We start from the raw sequence: 25054 nt of genomic DNA on the forward strand, positions 1-25054 counted from the left end.
TAAAAATACAAAAATTAGCCAGGTGTGGTGGCAAGTGCCTGCTGTCCCAGCTACTCGGGAGGCTGAGGCAGAAGAATCGCTTGAACCCAGGAGGCAGAGGTTACATTGAGTCAACATTGCGCCACTGTACTCCAGCCTGGACGACAGAGTGAGACTCCATTTCAAAAAGAAAGAAAATCAAGATTTTGCTTCAATATAGTCAATTTTATTCATTCATGTAGAAGACATTTATTGTACAATTGTCCCATACAAATAATCTTGGCTCCATGAAACAAGAAATGCATCTTCCCTACAATTTTAATACAAGGCAGAAAGAAGATAAGTGATTTGAGAAAAGTAAGGAAACTTCTTGTAACAATCATCTACTCTGTGCCAGACACTAGGTTAAAGCCCAAAATGCATGTGTCTTTAAATCATTTCCACCAAACAATGGCCTGAATGCATCCTTAAAGTCTGAAAAGTAGGTATGCTCTTCTCACTGAAGAAAATTCCATTCTGCACCTTTCCCCAAAATGCAGAGGGTTCATTCAGAGTGAGATCATGTTGATCCATATTCTTTATGATCTTCACCAGGTACAGAATTCCTCAGAGGATGTGGGGGCTGTACTGGCAATTTAGCATGCTCTTTTAGGCTATGGAGACTTGATTAGGATCTTGAATCCACAAAACTGTCTGTGTCTTTGGTCATACCTTTCAATTCTCAAAAGATTTCTAGGCTCTCCTAAGCTAACATTAGGCTACTGGCATTGAAGCTGATGCTCTAACCACTGTCTCAAACTCTTTTTTTCCTATTTTTTGTCCATTTTTCCTCATCTCCTGCTGATCATTTTCAATTACATAAATATAGCACTTTCCGAAAATTGCCTGACTTGCTTCATCCTTCAGAATCATTCCTACTGTGAATCAATTCAATCCATATATATGTGCAACATTTGTATTTTTTTTTTACTATTTTCTATTTTTTATGATCTAATGTTTATTCCAGCATAAGTATATATCTTTTCTTACTACCATTTTCAATGATTTTGCTGACTTTGCCCTTAATGGACATGATGGGAGTTTGTTAATTAAATACCTCAGACATAAGCACAGACACAAGTAAGTGATAAACTATTACTAGTGTGTTCTTTAGCACCAGAATAACTTGGGTGCTTGTTAAAAATGTGAATCTACAAGCTGAATCTCTCTACCTCTCAGTAACTAAAAATCTGTAGAGTTTATATCTTCAGTTTTCAGAATAAGACATGAAGTAAAGTAGTTTTTTCTAGAGCTGGAGTTCAAATTCTGCTCTTTTTGACTCTCTCTTCTGTTTCAATTTTGTCTCCCCATCTGATTGGCAAAAGCATAGTTCTTTTACAGTTCAAAGATGACCCTCCAATTACATTCAATTTTCAAAGAAACATCAAATAAAGTTTAGGATAAATATGCCCCACATATCGCATGGGAAATACTTGTGCTAAAGCTACTCATTTTTTATCTGAAATTTAGAGTTAACTGTGTGTCAAACTTTCATTTGTTCAATCTGGCTAGCTTACTAAAAGGAGCTGTAAACATGTCTGAATGGGCACTATCAAAAATATTTTATAAAATAGACGACCTTTGTTGCCAACCTTGGAAGGATGGTTGGAATTGAAGCAGATATTGGAGGAGAGAGCCTCTCAGTGAGGGTGAAAAGTTGGAGCCAAAAATAAAAGTCTGCAAAAGTACATGGTCTACTTGAAAAAAATAAGTAGTCAGGTTTGACCAAAGAATAGGGTTCACCTAGATGAGAAGTGGGTAAACAGCATGAACTGTAGTGTGAGCAGAACGTGAAGTGTCTTGAGCAGTGAAAGAAGTCCACCCAGAGTGGATCCAGTCCATCCTGCAGAGTCATGAAAGGTGTCAGGGTGACTGTACTAGAACAGGGTTTGGGAAGTCATCCACAGGTAAAATGGTTCAAAGTAATCAAAGACTGGGGGTGTGGGTGGAGGGGACTGGTCCATGTGGATATCCACTGGGATGTCTCCTTTTGAAATTGAGATGAGAGAGGCACTAGACACAATCACTCAAATATGAGAATGGTTTGAGGAGGGAGTGAATGGAAACAGATTCAGAGATGACTCTTTGATCTTGAGCCATGTCCCTGGTGGTGTCATTACCAGAAAAGATAATTCAAGAGAAGAAAATATTTTGAAGAGGTAAGAATGAGTGATAATGATGAATCTGTAAATCAGATGACAAATGTGAGATGTGAGCACAAGATGCAGGTGGTTTTGCCCAGCGAGCAGGAAGGAAATATGGCATCAGATCTTCAGAGAGAAGATGAGGCAGGAGATGTTAATCTAAGACTGTTCAGGATCAAGGAAATCGTTGGCACTGTCTGTATGTGAGTGATTATCCAATTAGATGAGAACAGAGAGAGGAAAAAGGGCCAAGAACTGAACTTTAAAGCCTGCCTATTTAGAACTAGGAGAATGAAGGGTAGTTACTAAACAATCAGTAAAGAACAGGTCAAACTTCAAGAGAATCAAATTTAAGGGGCAGTTTTTTTCTAAGAGGAAGTTTGCTATTCTTGTCTATTGCTGCAGAGCAGTGGTAAAGAATAAGATGAAGAATGGTATAGTTGATGCAGTTGCAAACGACCTTCAAGAGAACAGTGGTTTAGGCACATACAGACTTTACAGTGTATGGAAACAATCACATGATGTAGCAGTAGGGAGGTAGTTAAATAAGTGATCATGCAACCTGAGTATGGGCTAGGCAAATGAAAAAGGAATGAAGCCGGCCAGGCGCAGTGGCTCACGCCTGTAATCCCAGCACTTTGGGAGGCCAAGGCTGGCAAATCACCTGAGGTCGGGAGTTTGAGACCAGCCTGACCAACATGGAGAAGCCCAGTCTCAACTAAAAATACAAAATTAGCCGAGTGTGGTGGCGCATGCCTGTAATTCCAGCTGCTCGGGAGGCTGAGGCAGGAGAATCACTTGAACCCAGGAGATGGAAGTTGCGGTGTGCCAAGATTGTGCTATTGCACTCTACCCTGGGCAACAAGAGCAAAACTCTGTCTCAAAAAAACAAACAAAAAAAAGAATGAAGTAGGCATATTATGTTCTGATAAGTGATTGATAAGATAGCGTACATTTTCTTAAAGGAAAGTATAGGAAAGGAAATATAATATAGAGCCTTTAGTGTAGAGAAAGGAAAAGAAAAACAAATGGAGGACAGTTACATATTTTTTTTTCTGAAAGGGCACACAAGGTACTATCAATAGTTACTACTTTTGGAGAGGTGGTAGTTGGAAGACAAGCTTGCTTTTTGCATAGTATATGTACCTGTTTATACTTCCTAGAACATTTTCTAATCTTATATATGTATTACTTCTATTTGTTCTTTTTTATGTTAACAGTACAGTGTTAACTGATTGGGGAGATTATGGAACAAGTATTAAGAAATATTTAATGTTAAAAAATGCTTGAAGTTCTTGTAGAAAAAGAGCTGAGAAATCAGTAGATGTTAAAAAGGCGGCATGTTTGAGAAGTTTGTGAGAGAGTAAGTTGAGGGAAGGATTTGGGGAGAGGTGATTAGAGAGACTAGACTGTGTTTGTAGGCAGGGGGCAAGGCCCAGCTGTGGAGGAAAAATTTGAAGATGCAAGACCAAAAGAGAATAATGAATGAGGCCAGGTCCTCATGGGGCAGCTCTTCAGGGAACAGAAAAAAAAAAGAAAAGAAAATTGGGTGAAGGAACAGAGGAATTTTGAGTTGCAGGGGAGTGAACTCACATAGGATGGTCTCCATATTTTCAACAAGAAAGAGGGCAGGTGAGGAGTAGGGGTCTTGAAGGAAAGGAACAAAGTTCAGAGCAGCTGTTGTGAGGAAAGCACAATTTGGCCATAGAATGTGAATATAATAATTACTGAGTTGCAAGGAAAGCCTGGGTGAGGTTGCATAGCATCAGTTTTTTGATGATGCCAGTGCTATAGTTAGTGACTTCCTCCAGCAGGGCAAGTTAACCCAGGTGCCGGTATGGAGAGAGCAGAGAGGAGACGCAAGGAAGAGACACCGTGTCATAAGCAGCTTGGGAGTGAAGACAGACATGTGTTCAAAGCCTGACTTTGCCATTTTCCAAGTTACTAACTTACTTGACAATGCGTCATCATCAGTAAAATAAGATATTAATATATAATACCTACCTCATAGATTTTCTTTATGAGGATGAGAATGTGATCATCTGTGTAGTTCTTAGAGAAAGAGAAGTCAGCATAAGGTTAGTGCTCAGTTACTGAGTTACTGTGGTTCCTGAGAGTAGTCACACAGTGTGATCAGGAAGACAGAGGTCAACAACTGGATAGAGAGTGACCAAAAGCATTGATTCTGGAGCCAGACTGCATGGGATTGAGTCCCAGTTGGACTACTTACCAATCATGAGGCTTTGAGAAAGGCAAGTAATTCTCTCACCTCAGTTTACACATCTCAGTGAAGATATTTTTAGAAGGTTGTTGGAAGATTAAAATGAGTTAATAAATGTAAAGTCCTAGAACAGTGCCTTCTAAGTGCTTTTTAAGATATAGCTACTATTGTCATTAATTACAACAGTAAAACAATAACTACAATAGCAAATTGAGATTTTCGAGGTTGGGAAATTGGAAAGGCAGAGATATTACGAGATTCTAAAGACTGCAAATATAATTGAAATTGCTTAGCATGGTTGGCCATGGCTAACTACTTAAAAGCTATTTTCTGATGCATCAAATTAAAGGAAAAAAAATGTTTGCTTCTTGATGACAACATATATAAACAACTTTAACAATAACTTCTGTTTCATCATATTTCAGCATGCAATTAAATATTTTGGCAGGGCACTTTGTATCAACACCACCTCCTGTGCTGAGGGTGCTTCCTGGGGCGCTTGTTACCTGGCCTTCTATGGGATTCCATCTCCATGGCTGGTTGCCTCGTTTTCTGTTTGTCTTACCCTTCTCAGGATGTGCTGTATTTACTGTATGGATTCCTTAGTAATTCACTTCCTCTTACATATATACCAGTTCAAGTATGTTTGTTTTTCTGAAATGGGAGCAATGGCATTCTGCAATATCCAATGGGAGATAAAACAGAATATCATATGTTTGGAAAGGTACTCGCTACGCTCCTATGTTAATTCTCAGTCACTTATCCAAATCCTGCAACATAGATTCTAATCTGGTATATAGTTAAGGTCATAACATGAGCATTGAGTTAAATTTCCATTAGTAAGTGGCTGGCATTAGTACATCTTTTAGAGGGGAGTTATGTAAAGAAAAGGAGGAAAACCAACTAAAAAGCCCTTCTACAGAGTCCTTTGGACACATTGATGACAATAAATGACTGGATATGATTATCATGCATAAAGCCATCCACCTTGTTAATACCCATTCCCTGAACTGTGAAGTTCAAAGGGTCTTTGAAAGGTCATTTAGTCCTTCTCCCCAGCTTTGGCCAAAAAACTAAAATAAAATAACTGGAGAGTACTGTAAAGTCGTGCTTTCTTTTAGAGACTTTCTGAAAGGAGATTTCACAATCTCCCCCAGAAATACAATTCAGGTTTTTAACAACCCTCATTGTAGAAAAGGTCATGGTAATATCTAACCAGAGTCCCAACTGCTATAATAAAAGGTCATGTCCTCTTTTGCAGTTCTTGTTAAAGATGGTGAAGAGGTGGTTACTAGCTTCATCATAAATGAATGGTCACTGAGCACCTACAAAGACGGTAGTCCTCTTCTCTCCTTATAACAACATTTTATGTATTCAAGATCACCAGGAAGTCACTTTAAGGCTCCCTTGTCTTCAGGCCAAATGAACCCACAAACATTTCCTCTCCAGGGTCCTAGTTTCCAGCTCTCGATTAATCTTTTCAGCCTTCTCTGCAGATGCTCTGTGTCCCTTCCAGCCATGAGCACATTCCTCAGTAGTTTCTGACTAATTTGGAATACAAGAGATTTCACAGTCAGTGCTCTGCATTGTTTGTGGGGTTTGGGGGCTTTTTTTTTTTTAACACCTGTAGAATGTAGACAGTAATTTTTTCTACCACCTGGTGAGTCCTCCCAAGCTTTGCCTGAAGCTTTTGTGACTCTGGGAGAGAGGAAAATAGGGATGAAGAAAACAGGAAAGACATTAGTAACATATTGATATGTAAAGCTTCGTTTATGAAACAGAAAAGGAAAAGTATCCTGTGCCCACAAAAAGACAGAATAGTCTGCTCAGTCAGGGCTTTTGTTCAAAATCACTTTGAGCAAACAAACCAGCCACACTGTACTTGAGAGACCGGATAGGTATAAACGTATGTGTAAATGTAAATGAAAAGAGAGTCCTGGCAGCAGGGGTTCTAAAATCAACCTAAGACTGTGGTTTCTTTGATATTTCTCTTCTCACAGTTGGAGGCCAGGCAGGCAATCAATAAATAGCTGTTCATGATGATTGGCAAGTTTCCCTGGGAAGTTATAGAGATATTGTAGCTTTTGAAGAGTTTAAGGCAGTTAGGGAAAACAAAGCAACTCACTGGCGTTTGAAAATTAACAATAAAAAACACAACCCAAAATGAGATCTAGGAAGTACAAGTGATACAAGTTGTTCAGAAGACCATAGGGCGGCAGCACTGGCTGGATTGTCCAGGACAGGATCACCTTCATGGGAGAGGAAGACTTTGCACTGGGTACCCTGACTGATGGGTAGATGGAGAGGGCTAGGGTCTAGATGCCTAGTGGAGTAGGGGTCGGGGGGTATATGTTACACTGACCACTACATACGGCCTTTTGTTAGCGAGTGTCCATCTAGCAGAGATATCAATTACAATTGCACTTGGGATGAATGACAATGCAATAAAGGGCTGAAAGGCTGAGCGCAGGAATGGTCATGGGAAAAGTTGCCAGTCCCCCGGAAGTGACTGCACCTTGCGGTCCTGTGGCTGGAGCAATTCTCCCAGGAATGAGGGGCGGAGGCTTCCAAGGTTCTTTAGGGAGTTGAGTGTGTTCTTGTGTGCGTGTGATGATTCTTCAGGGGCACTGCTTACATGCACATGTGCTTATACACACACACACACACACACACACACACACACACACACACACACACGACTTTCTCCCTTCTCTCATGAAGTCAGGGTAAAAAAATCTAGAACTAAACCTTGGGGCCAGTACTGAACACATGAAAGAGAATCACTTCAACTTTTGTAAACACACAGAAATCTTTACAAAGAAAGCCACTGTGTACTCTTGGAAAGAAAGATCAGAAAACAATGGGATGGAGGTGTGGGTGTGAAGAGGAAAAAGAATGAGGTGAAGTACAACCAGGTAGATCGAAGAGAGAAGGGTAAAAAAGAAAAGAAAGAAGAAAGAAGCACAGTGACCCAACTGTAGAAGAATGTGAGCTGTGGGTAAAGTCTGGTTCTATCTCCTGAAGTGTAAAATGTGGCTTTGAGGACTCGTGTATACCTCTGTGGCTGCACTTGAAGTACCCAGATCTCATCACTACCTTGTCCTTACCACCTTTAGACAAGAAATGACTGAGAATAGGAGCCACGTGTTAATTCATCCATGCATCCTCATTGCTGCCCCTCAATAAATGTTTGTTGAATTAGTGAAATTATTATAAGCTGAATTTTATAATTCCCAGGACAAATTGTTCTGTAAAATAATTCCCATTTTGCTTATCTCTCTATAGGCATCCCTTTCCTCTGCCGCTTAGCTTGTAGATCAAGCCATCCCAGTGTCAGGTTGAGCCTTAGGGAGCCAGTGCTCGCCATGCACTGGCTTTCTTTCCCTACCCTGTCCCTGAAGTTCCTCTACTCATTTTTAAAATTTTATAATTTAGTATTTTATTCCTTTAAGTCAAATGGATTCTACAGATGTTCCTGGGAGAGAAAACACACTGAGCCATATCAAACATTGATACTTTGGTCTGCAGGCATACATAGGGTTATTCCTAAAAGCAGGATCTATATCTGGAGGGAGAATGAGAATTCTGGTTACCTGGTAGGGAGGGAGTGAAACATAAAAGACAAAATGGCAATCCAGGGGAACAAAGACAACTTGTTCCTGCTGTTTGGTTTTGTCTTAGGATGTTCACTGCCACTGAATCCATTTCCAGCCCAGGCGTCTTGCCCTGGTCATCCTCCTGGCTTCTGGTCCTTCCTATTTTAGTACCTGGAAAACTGAGGATGTCTTTGTCTCTACTTTGTCAACTCAGCAACAAAGGAGCTGCATTCTGCACACTGCCAGGCTGTTTCTCTGTATGTGCTCATTTGCTGAGCAGGTGTGTTCTCCCCAGCTACACCTTTTAAGGTGAGAGTGTCATCAGTCAGCAGTGCCCAAGGAACTGGAGGAAAGGGAGGAAAAATGCTAGTTGGTTTTAATCCAAAGTTCCCTCACTGCTTCCCATACACTGGCATGATGCATCTGCTGTGTTCTGTGTCCTCTGTCTGCTCTGGGAATAATTATTCCCTCCAAGACACTTAATTGAGTAGAGGGAAGGTGGGAGCTTAAGAATGATAGCTGCCCTCCTTCTTACCACACATGACAGAGGCACACGTGGAAACTGAGGCTGACGTTTATCAACTCAGCCATGGTTATGAGTGGTTGGAGAAGTAGGCTCCATTCCTGTCTCTCTCACATTTGAATCATCATGAAGCTGGAATGGAAGTTTAAATCACACCCTGTTTCTCAGCGGGCACCATGCTATTATGGTTATTAAATGTATTTGATAAACCTCTGACCTTTCAGATGCTGTTTTTTTTTTTTTGATGGTTGTGTTCTCCCTTGAGAATTATTTTTATGTGTTTATTGCCCTATTAGTGAACCAGTTCTGCTTGATTTCCTCGTTCACTCTTTAATTTGGTAGCACCCTATTTTACAGTCCACTAACTGTTGAAAATAAATTCACTTTCCTTGTGTGGTTAGTATTACTCATTTGATAACATAAGTACCATATTAGGGTGCGGTGAATGCATAGTAAGTGCTGCACAATTACAAGGTAAATATATGATGGCTTTATTTTATCCTCTAAGCCCAACACAGGGGTGACAGAGTAATTACTGTTGGACCCATTAAGTGTACTTACCACATAATCTGTAGGAAGATTAACTATGTAGTTAGCACTTGCCATCCTCCATTTTCACACACCTTCTAAGATTACACCTCTTTGAGACTTATATTATCTCAGATAAATCTCGTGTGCTGTATTGCAGGAGCCATCATGGATCTGCTACAGGAATAACCACATCCAACGCACCTCTAGAAAAAAGGGTGAAAAGCAGCTATAGCACATCTTGCGGGGTGGGGAGGCACCCACATTCTAAATTCAAACTAACGCTTTTATTTTTGCTTTGCCCATGCATTCAATAGGATGGAGTAGGAGAGGTATGGGAGAAACAGCATGTGCCGTCCTAGCAACCCGTCCTCTTCCACAATAAATTATTAGAGTCTAGCATTTAATTGGTGTCAGAAAACATCTGCCATGGACTTAACAGCACCTGGGACCAAGACCTTCATATCCCACAATAAAATTCTCTCATAATGACTGTATGCCCTAAACTGATGTTGTCAGTGTACTTTTAATCTGAATGATTTGTACCAAAGCTAAAATTCATATTTGTGAACTCTGGTCTTTCTCTCAACTAATAGACTTTGTGTTATCTCCTTGCCCTAGACTGCTCTCTGCAAAGGCATGTGCCCCAGGTTTCACATAAGCAGAGCAGATCACCCATATTTTATCACTGTGTGTGGGTCTGCCCTCGCTCTGGTAAAAGTGTAAAAAGTGTTTTGCAGGTAAACATGACATCCTAAACTAAGGAGTTGTCTGCTCTTACTAGAAAAAAACATTATTTTCTTTGCAAAATTGATTATATTCAAGAGTCTATTACATGCTAAGCTACCTTAATGCAGTTAAGATATTTGCCTAGCATCCCTTTGATTTATACAAGGCATTTTAGAAACACGATTACTGTGTGAAAGTGAGTACAACTTGTGTTCACTGTACATCTGTCATTGTCTCTGAGCAGTAGCTCCAAAAATCCAATAGCATTTCCTTTTGTATTCCCGAGTGGTTCTTTGACTTTGTGCCCATGCTGGTCACTTACAATTTCTCTTGTGTCTTTCAGGCATTGAGAATGCCAGCGACATTGCTTTGTACTCGGGCTTGGGTGCTGCCGTCGTGGCCGTTGCAGTCCTGGTCATTGGTGTCACCCTTTACAGACGGAGCCAGAGTGACTATGGCGTGGACGTCATTGACTCTTCTGCATTGACAGGTGGCTTCCAGACCTTCAACTTCAAAACAGTCCGTCAAGGTCAGCGGCATAGGTCCCTCCACACCTCGTCCTCAGTGCCATAGACTACGCTCACACTAGACCCCAGCCTTCTCCTGGGCCCTGTGTGAAGGTAGCTCTTGGCACTGGGAGCCGCTACCAAATTGTCTTCACACATGAACAGACCGGGCTGGGTGAAGTGGTCTGCTTAGGTCCTTGTCTGCCACAGGGACAAGAGGATCTCGGTTTATTATCAGCAACATTTTCAATGAGGCATTTCCATTTTTGATGTAGGGTCAGCCTAATGAGTTATTTTATTTCAAATTATCCTTCTTTTTAAAAAAGTCCTTTTGAGGATGTATATTTAATTTAGTTAACCAAAGTATTGGTCATTCAAGACTGAGGACTAACACCTATATTACAGCCTCCCAGGTATATTTATTACCCTATTTATGAAGTGGAGTAATTTTGTTATTTCTATTTTAAATAAGTAAACAGATTTTAGAGAATAGATGATGGGTCAGCTAGCCAGGGGAAAAAAAATGAAATTCCAGCCGAAACGACTCTCAGCTGTTGCCAAGTCCAAGCAATCTTTAGTTGTGGGGGAAGGAAAATCTATCATGTCAAACTGTATCATGTCATTTTCAAAACAGAGTCATTTAATTCTGTTATAGGAACCAAATCTATTCCTTATTGCAAGGTGGGGATGAAACATACACAGCTTTCATTTTAGAAAAAAATGAAACCGTCTCTTTTCAGAGGATGAAGTTTTCTACCTTGACCCTCATCGTCAATATCGTCACCTTCATTTCTGTTTATTGTGCATCAGTGGTGCCTACAGCGCGGAACCAGAAGTCTCAGTGCAAGGCAGTGATTGAGTAGACAGGCTTCCGAAGTGGAAACACAGGCATGCTGGAAAAAATTGAGAGATGGCCAGAGAGATGAGTACCTTCCCTCTTGCCATTCACTTCTGGGCACCTCAGAGTTAGGCCTCAAAAGAGACACATCCCCTACATTTGGACATATAGTTTAGTATATGTAGTTAATTGGAAATAAATCCAAATATAGAACTGATTTTTTAAGTGGTGTTACTCAAGCTGGAGTGCAGTGGTGCAATCATAGCTCACGGAAGCCTCCCACCCATGGGCTTAAGTGATCCTCCCACCTCAGCAGCTGGGACTACAGGCACATGCCACCACACCAAGCTAAGTTTTTGTTTTATTTTTATTTTTTATAGAGACAGGGTCTCACTATGTTGCTCAGGTTGGTCTCGAACTCCTGGCCTCAATGATCCTCCCACCTCAGCCTCTGAAAGTGCTGGGATTATAGGAATGAGCTACTGGGTCTGGTCAAGAACTGATTTTTATGCTACCTAAAAAACTAGAAACATATTTTCATCAAATAATAAAATATCAATATCTTAGACCATAACACTTGAAAACAGATGAGCTGTATTAGTGTGAGAGACAGTTTTGTGCATAAGTCCGTAGGCTTTGAAGTTAGATTTTAGTCTAAAACTGCTATCAATTAGTCTGTTATCCTCTTGAGTCTCAAGTTTTACAGCTATAAAATGGGGTTAGTAACATTCAACTCAAAGTGTTCTGAGGATGAAATCACCTGGAATAACATGGGTAAGCCCTTGGCATATGGAAAGCGCTCACAAATGCAGCGAATAGAGTTCTAGACGCTGGTTGCTTCCTCTTACCCTAGTACAGGATGCCAGCGTGTTCCGTGGAGCACCAGGCAGCAGGTGAGAAGGGTGGATCCCTGGCCTACACCTGTCTGGGGAGTGCTGACTTGCCTACACTTAAACTCAACTTATGTGTATTGTAAATCTCTAAGACAATATTAGTCTTACCAAACTTACCTGACCATTTTGTTTTATTTTTATTTTTAGCCAAGAATATCATGGAACTAATGATACAAGAAAAATCCTTTGGTAAATGCCACTCTCCCTGCATTTATTATGGTAATCTGCCTCATGCTGATATCATGTGGTTTTCACCTCCACTGTCTTAGAGAGATCCGTTTTTGAGCAATACATCCAGTGCCCCGGCAAGGTGAACACTGAGCCTTTTAAATAGAATGCCATACACAGAACAGACTAGGGACTTGAAAAAGGATTTCCAAAGAGAAGACTGGGGTGACCAGCGGTGGGTGACTGTCGCTGGTCAGACTTCAGTCAAGCTGGCAGCCAATTTTCTCTGACCGTGGATGCTATCATATGTACATATGTCCAGAATCAGGCATTTCCCGCTCAAGTGCTGTCTCACTCTAGGAAATATTTTTGCTTCCTTGTGTCACTTAGACTAGGCAGATCTTCTAAGCGTAGCCAAAAATTAAACTTCAGAGGCTAGGGCTTGAGATAAAAGAGCCAGGTGACTGAGGCATGTGGCTTTTGAGGTCTCCGCAGAACCTCCTGTTCTAAACTCTTTTCTAATCTAAGATGGGTTTTGGTCCTGCTTCTTTCCTGGGAAGACCATAAACAGGAGCAAAGTGGTCACCTGAAGAACTCAGTGCAGACCTGCTAGAAAGCGCAGCTCCCTGATGGTACCTGGGTCTTGATACAACACACTCATGCATGGAAAAAAAATAATAATAATCAAAGATCCTTTAGCTCTATAGCATTATTTATTTCATCCAATTTGTATATTTTCCTCTGTGATTCTGGATTCTTAGAGCATCACAACAAGAGATGGGAAAAGTCAGGGTGATAGATTTCCTACTGGCGTTGCTGCAAATTATGAAAATGGAAAAACAATAGAGGCTAATACAATATGGCCAAGAATTGCAACATTTTCAGAAAGATCATACTTTAAACATTTTTGTCAGGCCCCAAAGGAAAATTGTTTAATATGGTTTGGGTTTCAATTTGAGATGTCATATTGACGGACTGATATGGGTGTGAAGCTTGGGACTGAGAGTTATTTTGTTATTTACTAATAAATGAGATTACTTCATCACAAGAAAATATCACAGCATTTCTTTTTAATATTTGGCTTGGAAAAAAATGGCGAGCCCCAGCAGATGACAAAGCCCAATTTCTCATGTTTTTGCAAAGATATTATATATACTTTTTCCCTTTGAGACAGAAAGGAAACCATTCTAAGCTGCTCCCTATGTAGAATCTAAGCTTCTCACTGTCTCTGGGTGGTGCATTTTTTCCCTCGCAGAGTGACATATGAGTTATTAGAGCAAATTGGCTACTCAGATGTGGTGAGATTCATGAGGTGCCCTGACCCTTTTGCTCTGAGGACACATCATTTCCTCCCCAGCTCCAGAATCTGCACAGAATTCCGTATGAAATGCACTGGAACCGATGTAGCTTCTGTTATAAACAGCACTACCTAGTCACCACGCTTTGTCATCTCTTGCCATTTAAAATGAACAGATGTTATTTTTGCTCAAAACTTGACTGCAAAACATCTCTCCCCCCTCTTTTTTTGTTATTTTAGCTTCTGTTTGCCAGTTGAAATAATCACATAAACAATAATACCTGAGTTCGTTGCCAGAGAGAGTGCCAGAAATACTTGTTTTGAAAAGATAGCACGGAAAGATCTCTGGAAAGTGAAAGATTTGGGTCAGTGGCATTTAGAGAATGGACGGTGGAAGCCAGGGCTCTTGATTCAAAAGTTCTAGTCACTAGCACCCAACCTGGCAGGGTGGTCCTGAAGAGCTAGCTTGGATTGGAACTGCTGGCACCTATGCAGGCTGTTGCGCAGTTTGCAGAGGCAGAAGTACAGGAGTAACTGAGATGCCTTTTAGTTTCTGAGTGACAGATCAATTTTCTTTTACCAGGTAACTCCCTGCTCCTGAATTCTGCCATGCAGCCAGATCTGACAGTGAGCCGGACATACAGCGGACCCATCTGTCTGCAGGACCCTCTGGACAAGGAGCTCATGACAGAGTCCTCACTCTTTAACCCTTTGTCGGACATCAAAGTGAAAGTCCAGAGCTCGTTCATGGTTTCCCTGGGAGTGTCTGAGAGAGCTGAGTACCACGGCAAGAATCATTCCAGGACTTTTCCCCATGGAAACAACCACAGCTTTAGTACAATGCATCCCAGAAATAAAATGCCCTACATCCAAAATCTGTCATCACTCCCCACAAGGACAGAACTGAGGACAACTGGTGTCTTTGGCCATTTAGGGGGGCGCTTAGTAATGCCAAATACAGGTGGGTGGTAAGTGTGTGTTTGTGTATTTTCCATCATTTAAATGTTTCATTTTTACACAGTTACTTCCCATCAGATTCATTTTATGATGTTTACTCTCCCCTCATCAGACCTGCAAACACTGCGGCTCCACTAGTCCACTTGATTTACACAGCAAACCAGAACCAATGCTGAGATTAGATTTTGCAGTCTTCATCTCAGCATGGATTGAATGCTCCCTTTGATTCCCTGTTAGAGCTGATAACTATATTTGCCTGAAAGGTTTGGGTAGTCCCCAGGCTTTAAGCCCCTTTGGAGTATATTTCCTAGGCATGATAAGAAAGCACTGAAAAAATTCTCTGGCATGACAGACCAGGGCCCCATGTTTATACCTAAGCATGGTTTATGTACTAGTTTGATAATTTAGATAATTTAGTGAAATGACATCTCATCAGTAACTGACCTAATGAACACTCCATAGCCCTTGCTATAGTGTTACTTTCTGGTGAGCAACGATGAGGGGTTGTTGTAGAGTTGCTCTTTTGAATTTAAACTTCAGTTCCAGGGCTATGTCAGTATAATGAATTCTCACATATTTTGTTCCTCCTTTTAGCTGGAAGAGAGGAGATTTTCATGATGTTTTGACATGATACTTAAAGTATCCAGCCCAGATCACTTTTAAAATGATATCCTTTCTATGGATTAGTTTTCAAAGTTGCTGCCTAAGACCTAAGTGGATGGTAGACAAGGTCAATTTCTGCTCGGATTTCTAAGCAATGAGAATTAGGTAGTGCACTGAAGCAGGTAGTGATCTGTTGGCTGCTAAGAGGGAAGAGTATCTGTTGGATCTGTAAGTGTTTATCAAACAACAGGTCAGCATTGAGTCAGGGACATTATAGTCTAGACAGATGTCTCTCTAGGGTGGAGCTAACCAACCTCTCAAATCGAGCATTTCATTCCATAAATAAAATCTGTAATAGGACTAGTCTGATTCTACCATTCTAGCTAACTGACCCCTCTAGTAGCTTAGAGACTGGAGACTGAAATTCATTTCTAGTTGATGAATGTTGTCTTGTTCTCCCCTAGAGCAATTACTTCCTTAAAATCTTCATTTCAAAACATATTTTACTTCATCAAAATAGCCCTCAATGGCAGCCGTAATTGAATGGTTTTGTTTTTTAAATTTCTAATTCTCTAAATCTTCATTGGTCAATGTTTTAGGACATGGTAAGGATCTTTGTTCAAATGTGTATGCGTGTCAATGTGTGAATGCCTACGCATGATTTAATTCTTCCAGTTGATAATTGGAAGATAATGAGTCAATCAGACATATTTACCAATTAACTTTTCTGTAAGAATTCATAAACTAGACATGTGAGTCCTGAGGAAAGAAAAAGAATACAACCCTTGCCCTAAAGAACACGACGTGTCAGAATTATATAAAATTTGGCAGGGTGTAGTGGCACACACCTGTAGTCCCAGCTACTCAGGAGGCTGAGGTGGGGAAATCGCTTGAGTCTAGGAATTCGAGACCAGCGAGGGCAACATAGCAAGTTGCTGTCTCTAAAAAAAAAAAAAAAAAAAAAAAAATATATATATATATATGCCATAAAAACAAAAATACAGAATCATATAAAGCCATGCATTAAGTTATGCAATTATCTTATCTCTTTCTTGCTCATGCTTGGCACTTAGAAGGCTCTCAGTTATTAGTTGATAAACTGCCCATTACTCCTTCTCTCTCTTTGCATCCTCCTTTCTTAGTGTATGTATGTGTGTGTGTGTGCACATCTGTTTACACATATGTAGAGGGAGAGCCATGACCAACCCGTTCATTGGCTGTGTTTGTCGTTCATCAAAGAAAGCGAGATGAAATCATGATGAACCAGAGATTTACCTTCACCTCTGACTTGAGCAGCACTAACGTTGAAAACTAAAAGTTCTGACAGCATTGTCAGTGATTCCCAAACAGTTTCTCCTTGAAATGGGGCATTTTCAAAGCTCCTGACAAGGAGTGTTGGACAAGATTGAAGCTGTTCACTGGGAATAAGTTTGATGTAAAATAACTGTGGAGAAGTAAAACATATGCTCTGTTATTTGCAGGAAATAAATGCAAAATATGCCCTAGGGAGCTAAAGTATAAAGAAAGCAAGGCACTGAAATTAGATTGCTCTAATGCCATCCATCCTAAATTATTGTATGGTGCCTAGCAATGATTTCTCCAAAAGGTTAGGGTGGTCTCCACACTCTAGAAATTATTTATTATTCCAAATATAAAACAGGAAGCTCAGACTGGTGCTTCTGTGGTCATATCAAATAAAAGGCTGTCAGGGTAGCAGGTGGAGTATGGGGTATTATATTTTTCTTTAATCAGAGGTAACTGGCCAATGACATATTGAAGTGAATTCTACTTTAGAGGATCACAGGCATAAAGCTGTCCCACAGTATCTCTCATTCTTCACTATCTGTAACTTGCCACTCCCCATGTGCCTTTGTGTATGACTATTTCAGACTCCACGTAGTATTTGCATGTTTGGGCAGGAGGAGTGGGGGAAGTATGTTTGAAAGATAACACCATTTCTGATTGAAGAGAGAAAAATCATTTAAAGCTCCAGTGATCCCATAGATTCAGGTTGAATTCAGGAGTATTCTGAATAATGTTTCAATCTAAACACAGATAATTAAGCCAACTTGAAAGGAATAAGGTGTGATCTGCGCAGACAGCTCTTTCTCAATTGTCCTCACACATCTTTCTTCTGTTTTGCTATGAGAGTTGGCCATCAGGCTATGATGATCTACAGAAGCTAACATGTCTCGGACCCTGTCTTTTTTACTAAGAATTTTGAATCCTATTTCGTTTATATCTTCATGATGTGTTTATTGGCTTCCTGCTACACGAGTGGCATTGTGATAAGTGTAATTGATTTAATATTATTATTGTTGCTTGATGATAGTTTCCTGTACTTCTAAGTCTGAAAAATACAGACTGCATGTCTCTGTCATCGTAATGACCTAGACAGCCTGAAAGAGCGGCAGCAGAGAGGAAGTTTTAGGTCAAACTAAGAGAAGACAGAATGTCGAGGGCATGTATTTAGGTTGACTTCCGAGCACACTGGATGTCCTGTGTCTTGCAACTTGTGTTTAGCAGCAGGGAGGTTTATAATGGAGGCCCCTTCATTTGGCAACTACATTTAAGGAAGAATAGACAAGGGAGGGAAGAGTTGGACTGGAGGTCTCTAAGTGTGGCAATTATAGTTCTACTATTGACATTAAGGTTCAGAATATAAATGGACCTCCATAAGGCCAAGCTGTAACCAAGATTTAAACGTGCCTTATTCTTAGTGCTGGTGAAAGATACTGATAACTAGCATATTACTGAATAATGCTTACAAATGTGAATCATAAATGACTTGTTTTGCAATAAGGTTTACGTTTTTTGGTTTTGTTGCTGCTAACAGGCACATAGAAGGAGATCAGGAAAGACTGCCATCTCTAGATTTAAATTATCATCAGCAACCTGAAACTCTTCTGAGCGATTTACATTAGCTCTAATGAAAGGAAAAGAAGTTGAGAGCTGCCTTACTCAAAGAATAGGAGGTTGCCTTGAGATTTTATTTTGTAAGGATCTTACTGTTTCTCTATTTCATTTCTTTTTATAAACAAGAAGCTACATTAAAGAGAATCCCTGCCCTCCTTAGACTCTTCTTTCTTGGCCAAGGTGCAGTATTTTCTTCACAGCGTTTTAGAGGAAGGAGAGGACATTTAAGATGCAGTGAGATGTGGCTTCCTGTGCCTTCCCTTCCTGCATTGTATGATTTTATGGAAGTAAGGCTGCTAGTTTTTCCAATCTGACATTGACATGACTCTAGTTAAGTAACCTTTCGCCTTAACCCTTTCTAGGTTCTGTTTGCTAGAAAGGGTCATGGTTGTGCAATAATCTATAAGGCTCCTAAGTACATCAGATGCTTTCACTTTCTTGACAAAATGCGACACCCCACTGAGTACCACCTTCAACTTGCTTCCAGATGCACTACTGGTAAGACAGCTTCATCCTGGGTTCTAGCACAGTATTAGATCACTCACTCACCCATCATTTCATGTAGGTTTTCAGGAAATAAACAGATAGTGATGAGATATACATTTTTTTAAATTTTGGAGCAGATTAAGTGATGTATGGATAAACTCTTGCATTCTCAGATATGTTTAATACTGCCTGGTCTTAGAACACTCAATCTTTTAAAAGAATTAATGCTGGGATGACTTAAAATAAAAAAAAAAAACTAATTTGAGTACTCAGTTGAATAATATGCCCTTCCTTATGTCACTGTTATAAAACAATGTTTTTCCTGTTATAATCTTGAACCTTAAACTTTCCAAGGATTGAGATTTCATAAATTGCCATGAGAAAGTAGCTTGTTTTCCAGGTATCTGTAAGGTGCTCGAGTGACAAACTTCATGATAATTGGAAAAATCTATGAATAACCTGTTGGCTTTTTCTGTTTTAGGGGTGAGCTTACTCATACCACACGGTGCCATCCCAGAGGAGAATTCTTGGGAGATTTATATGTCCATCAACCAAGGTGAACCCAGGTGAGAGACAGAGAATAGCATATTAAAGAAAGTGGCTCACGCCTGTAATCCCAGTACTTTGGGAGGCTGAGGCAGGCAGATCACTTGAGGTCAGGAGTTCGAGACCAGCCTGGCCAACATGGCGAAAGCCTGTCTCTACTAAAAATACAAAAAAATTAGCCAGGCATGGTGATGCATGCCTGTAATCCCAGCTACTCAGGAGGCTGAGGCTGGAGAATCGCTTGAACCTGGAAGGCAGAGGATGCAGTGAGCCAAGATCGTGCCACTGCACTTCAGTCTGGGCAACAGTGAGACTCTGTCTCCAAAAAAAAAAAAAAAAAAAAAAAAAAAAAAGGGCATTTTAAATATGGACTGGAACTTCTGTAGAAAATCTGAAACTATTAAGAGAATGAGACTTAGAGGTGTATAGATAGATGAGATCATGAACTCCTTGACTCTAGAAAGGAAAAAAACAATTGCAAAACTACTGGCTGAAATGAAACCATACATGACTCCACAGTTTTATGGTCACCAGTCTCTACACAAGAGACACCAAATGGAAAACAGTGAATCGTTAGGTCAGAAGCAGTGCCACTCCATAAACGCTGACTGTCTCAGAGTCTTCCTCTCCAAAGAAAATATCCCCGGAGGCACTCACTGGTGCTAAGCCTTAGGCAAATACATACGATGATTGATTCGTGATCCTTTTACGGTAGGCAGAAGACCTACTCTATACTGCCCGAGAGACAATTTCTTAGGCAATTTTAGGCAATGTGAAAATATGACCTGAAACATCAACTGCTTTCAGGCCTGACAAATTTCAGCAGCATTAAATTCAATTACAGGAACAAATACAAATCTTGTCACATTCCCTTTTAATGAAAATAGTTGGTTATTTTCTTAGTGCAAGTATAATATTTTTGGAAATGTTGTCTTCCTCCACACAAGATAAACCTGACTCCTCTTCAGAAAGCAATTTCTCTCATAAACTGGATATATACCTCTAGCATTTTTAGTTATAACATCTTGCTTATTTTAGAATAGATTATTTTTGTTGTTGTTAGCAAAGAACACATGAAAGAAAAACACTGGGAGGAAAAACAGCCAGAGAAACAGATGGTTTAAACAGATTTTGATAGCTATTTCTATAAAAGGATTTGTTGGTACTCAATGGTTTTAACTTTCTGCTGTACAGGGCTCGAGAGGCATGGAAGAAAAGGTTCTGCCATTTGGTTGTGAGGCTGGCTCTTAGGGGATTTGTGTGCAGGTTGTGCTATGTTGGGATCTCATGTTATTTCCCCAGTTGTTTAAAGCTAGATTCTTTACTTGTATATCTGAAAAAGTGCTGGTGTCTAAATATCTCCACTTGGCAACTGGGGGGAAAAAGAGGCTCAGAAGGTTTGAAGAGTTTACTCAAAATCTTAGGTTAGTCACTTAAGCAGACCTAAAAATGGAGTTCCCTGGATGGAAGTCACCCCTTTTTTACCCATTAGGTTGATTTACTTAAGAAACCATACCTATCTGAATTTGTGGTTATGGCCCATTATACATATGCTTTAAAACATATCATGCTGCAAAAATCAAGTATGAGGTATAATCCAGTCCACTTTCCCTGAATCACAGCTTCCTACACACTCCTAGCTCTGCATCCCCCTCCCTTGGTTGTAATTGATCCAGTAAGCCTGTGTTGAGCTCATTCCTCTCAAATCCATCCCCAGCTCATCACATGAGAACCAACTTAGGGCAATTTCGCATTTTCCAAGGCACCTCATTTACAACTTACCTGCAATTTTAAAGTAAGAGAGAGGAACACCTAGAACTCACAAGAGCCCAAAGACCTCAAAAAACAGCTTGGCCTCCTGTGGTCACCCCTTGAATGCTTTGTAAGCTCTATGGTAACCAATTTGGTTTATCCTTCTGTGTCTACTGCTGTCTAGGAAGGTGGACAGAAACAGAAGAACCTTCTCTAACACTTTAGATCTGTGAGGTATGAATTTTTCTCTCTACTAAACTGTGAAAAAAAAAAATTACAGGAAGCCGCACATTCCTTTTCAGGTAGCTGAAACCTTCCCAGATGTTATCTCTAAGGAAATGACCTGTCACTGGGCTAAAGGCCATTTACCTTCCTTGACAAGCCTCACTCCCTTTTGATAGCTCACGACTACTTAGAAAAACACTGAAAATAGCAAATACCTTTCTACTACTTCATTTTAAGCTGGGGTGAATTGTTTCATCTCTGCAAGGAGGCTCCTTGGGTCTGGTTCTTCAGCTTTTAATCTTGTGATCAGGAAAAGGCCAGTGTGTCACCTTTTCTTTGTAATATCACTTGAAAACCCATTTTCACTTTGGGCTGTACGTCTGCCATCCTGAACTTGTGCTGAGAAGAAGGCCCGTTTTCCTCGAAGTTCATGGAGCTGGAATGCACTGTTCAGTTCCTGTCATCTTTACCTCTAGAGCCACCACGGTTCCCTCTGTCTTAGTTCATCATGAGAACTGGATTTATGGACTCTCCATCACCTCCACACACACAGAGCACAGTAGGATCTTCCAAACCACATCTTTATGCTGTCTTGAAATTAAAGTCTGCTCCATTTCTCCTATTGACTATACATTTATGTTGCCCATGTCTGAGTTACAGCCCCAATATATCAGGGTAGTGATGTAATGGAAGTGGAACTGGTATGTTAAATCAGGGCCTTTAATCCATTCTAAGGATTGGGTTAAAGAGGGGTACAGGGGTGAGGATGGCTTCCTGGAGATGTCACTGAACTGAGTCTTAAAAGATGAATAGGAATTAGCCAGACAAAGAAAGGAGTAAGGTCTATAGCTCAATGATTTGCATCCTCCACAATGCATTTTCCTGTAGTTTTCTATAGAGGTTTGAGGGGTAGAGGGGTCTAAACCCAGTGATTTTTTTTTTTCCTCCTTTAAAGTCACCCTGATGCCAGAACATTGCATTCAACAGTGTCCTTCCAACTGTAGCCCAGGCCTTGCCACAGGCAAAGAGTTGGTTTAATGCATTATCCCATTTATAACATAGAAGATATTTAGTGATGCTGTAAGAACAGGTACTGGAGTGGCCTGACACAAAGGCCATGGCATGAAATTGGAGCTGTCAGAATTAGTCTGCTGGTGAGATCTCAGCCCTGGGGCTCCTCCTGGATCAAGGGTATGTAAGCCATCCATGCTAGATGTGGCCTCCTCCCCTCCACAGTGCTTTACTCCCTCTGCAGGGGAGGAAACCAGCAGTAATCACTGTCAAAAAAAAAAAAAAAAAAAAAAAAAAAGCCTGTCTCATTTCCCAAACTTTAATTTGAAAGACTTGGGGTATTTCTTTCTTTCTTTATTTCTTGAGACAGAGTTTTGCTCTTGTTGCCCAGGCTGGAGTGCAATGGCGTGATCTCGACTCACTGCAACCTCCGCCTTCTGGGTTCAAGCGATTCTCCTGCCTCAGCCTACCTAGTAGCTGGGATTGCAGGCATGTGCCACCATGCCTGGCTAATTTTGTATTTTTAGTAGAGATGGGGTTTCTCTATGTTGGTCAGGCTGGTCTTGAACTCCCGACCTCAGGTGATACGCCCACCTCGGCATCCCCAAGTGCTGGGATTATAGGTGTGAGCCACCACGCCCAGCTGGGGTATTTCTTTTTTTACATTTTATTGGGAATGTTTTTGAGGGAGGGGAAATTTTATTCTACACACTTTAAATTTTTTTTTTTTTTTTTTGAGACGGAGTCTCGCTCTGTTGCTCAGGTTGGAGTGCAATGGCGCCATCTTGGCTCACTGCAACCTCTGCCTCCCAGGTTCAAGTGATTCTCTCTGCCTCAGCCTCCCGAGTAGCTGGGATTACAGGCACCCGCCATCACACCTAGCTAATCTTTGTATTTTTAGTAGAGACAGGGCATATTGGCCAGGCTGGTCTCAAACTCCTGACCTCGGGTTATCCACCCGCCTCGGCCTCCCAAAGTGCTGGGATTACAGGCATAAACCACCACGTGCCCAGCCTTTAGATCATTTTAATAAAATTAAAGTATTCAAACAGGATTAAAAAATCAACAATGTCATTTCAGAGATTCTTTTCACTGACATTACAATAAGAGAATGATACAGATGTAGCAGGAAGTTCCCACTACTCCTCTCCTCTCCCAGCTCTCCTTTTGCACCCCGCCCCCGACCCCATGGTTGGAGAGGAGAGAACTGGACCAGAAAATTATTATATGGGGCTTTCTTCTGAAAAGCAATAAAATGAAACCAAAGACAAACATTCATTTCTTTTTCCAATTACACTGTCATGTGGATACTCCTGACCAAATGCTTAGACTAAAATTGGAAATGTTGTAAGTCATCTTATTGAAGAATTTACAAAAGAACACATATTTTTAAATTTGGGCTCAGCCCAGATGGGACATTTCAACCACTTCTGTTAGATGGTATGGTCTGCCCAGTAAGTACATTTTGGGGTAAGGATTGAGAAGGTAGAGGTGGTGGTAATAGAAAACATTATCTTTTTTAGGGTGCTTAGATGGTACCATGGCTTTAATAGCAAGGCATGAAATAAGAGCAAATACAAGGCTAGAAAGGCAAAAAGAATCTAGCTCTGGAAAATAGAGAAGAAAGGATAGAATTTCATTCCCAGTAATGGGGCTCACAAACACTGCAGTATAAGCCATTACTGTGGAGATTACTGTGGTTTTTCTTCCCCAGTAGCAAAAACCATACACACAAAAACAAAATCATACACACGCCTCCTCATATATCATGCAGACCTAAGCACTCAGAAATGTCCTTGGACTATTTGAGAGGACCTCATCTCCAAAAGAGTAAAAAGAAAGCAGGTATATATCTTTTATCAATGAGATTAAAAGATGGGCCAGCTGGTCATTCTCTTAATAAGAATGGAGTTTTTATGATATGAATCTGTTTGTAGTGAACTATTCTTTATGTTATAGTAGACATTTGTGGCTATTCTAAACTGCTCATCTCAGTAAAATATGAAACTGTATATGCTTTTCCTGGCACCTTTGAGGGCCTTGATTTTTCAGAAGGTAACACACCCCCTCCTTCTGCCAAGCCCAGGAGTTTGAGACCAGCCTGGGCAACAATTGAGACCTTGTCTGTATAGAAAATAAAAATAAAATAAAACAAAATTAATAGGGCATGGGGGTAAATGCCTGTAGTCACAGCTACTCAGGAGGCTGGGGTGGGAGGATGGCTTGAGCATGGGAGGTCGAGGCTGCTGTAAGCCAAGATTGCACCACTTCACTCCAGCCTGGGCTATACAGCGAGACCCTGTCTCAAACAACAATAAAAGAAAAAGGAGTCTTAAAAACCAAATTACACTCTTTTAATAACTAGATGTTACTGAACAGTTATATAAGAAAAATGAAATGTCTTCAAGGGACCCTGCTACTATGGATGGTTTCAACAAGCATAATTGTTAACAATTACTAGGAAAACCAAAACCATAGTTGATATATTTCATACCATAATAGGTTAAGCCCCATAAGCAAATCCAGTTCTTTAAATGAATGATCATATTGCAGTGTGGTATATACGGTGACCACAGTGAAAGGATGAACCCCGTTTAAAGGCTCAGGGAAAGTTTCAGAGAAATAACAGTTGTCTTATAAACTAAAAGAGTAAAAGGGGTTTCTCTCCAAGGGAGTGGTGTGTTCAAAGGCACAGAGGTATAAATAGCATCACATATTTTGGAAGCTAAGCAAAGCAGAGCGAAATATGAAAGGAAGAGTGACAGGGAATGAGGCTGAAGAAATAAGGACTAGATCGTGTAGCGATGTTTGCCACCCAGAGAATATCCAGTTTATCTGGTGGGTAGGGGTGAGTGAGGCTTAAGTTTTGGGAGACCTAGTCATGCTTATATTTTAGATAGATTCTGTTTCATCTCCACCAATATTGCCCAAGTTCAAATCTTCACTAGATAAGCACCCTCCTTGAGAGCACAGTGAAACTATGTTTTATTTTCCTTGGCACAATTATTAATAGTGTTTCTTTTCCTCCTCAAAAGCATCTCAATTTGGGCAATAATTTATAGTTACTCTACTTTTGAGTGCCCTCGTCTCTAGATTT

General features: G+C 40.5%; 1 protein-coding gene across 18 annotated transcripts in view, besides 1 other annotated feature; it reads left to right on the plus strand.

The window, feature by feature from the left end:
* The window catches only part of UNC5D (unc-5 netrin receptor D), a 561066-nt gene that overhangs the window by 476633 nt on the left and 59379 nt on the right, over positions 1 to 25054 (plus strand). For 5 of the 18 annotated variants that reach the window (NM_001438417.1, NM_001438420.1, NM_001438424.1 and 2 more), the window contains 4 exons: positions 10103 to 10288; positions 12144 to 12215; positions 14045 to 14422; positions 18905 to 18989. In NM_001438417.1, the coding sequence (NP_001425346.1) occupies positions 10103 to 10288; positions 12144 to 12215; positions 14045 to 14422; positions 18905 to 18989 (721 nt within the window). The remainder of the gene's footprint in view (positions 1 to 10102; positions 10289 to 12143; positions 12216 to 14044; positions 14423 to 18904; positions 18990 to 25054) is intronic. The other 13 variants (NM_080872.4, NM_001438421.1, NM_001438426.1 and 10 more) reach the window with 3 other exon arrangements.
* Positions 6482 to 7384: an enhancer, noted in NCBI's record as "OCT4-NANOG-H3K4me1 hESC enhancer chr8:35576107-35577009 (GRCh37/hg19 assembly coordinates)". NCBI's record gives its function as "activates a minimal SCP1, AML or CMV promoter by ChIP-STARR-seq in primed H9 embryonic stem cells {active_cell/tissue: H9 hESC(primed)}" and the evidence as "EXISTENCE:reporter gene assay evidence [ECO:0000049][PMID:30033119]".

The sequence above is a fragment of the Homo sapiens genome, chromosome 8, assembly GCF_000001405.40.
Source record: "Homo sapiens chromosome 8, GRCh38.p14 Primary Assembly".
NCBI lineage: Eukaryota > Metazoa > Chordata > Mammalia > Primates > Hominidae > Homo > Homo sapiens.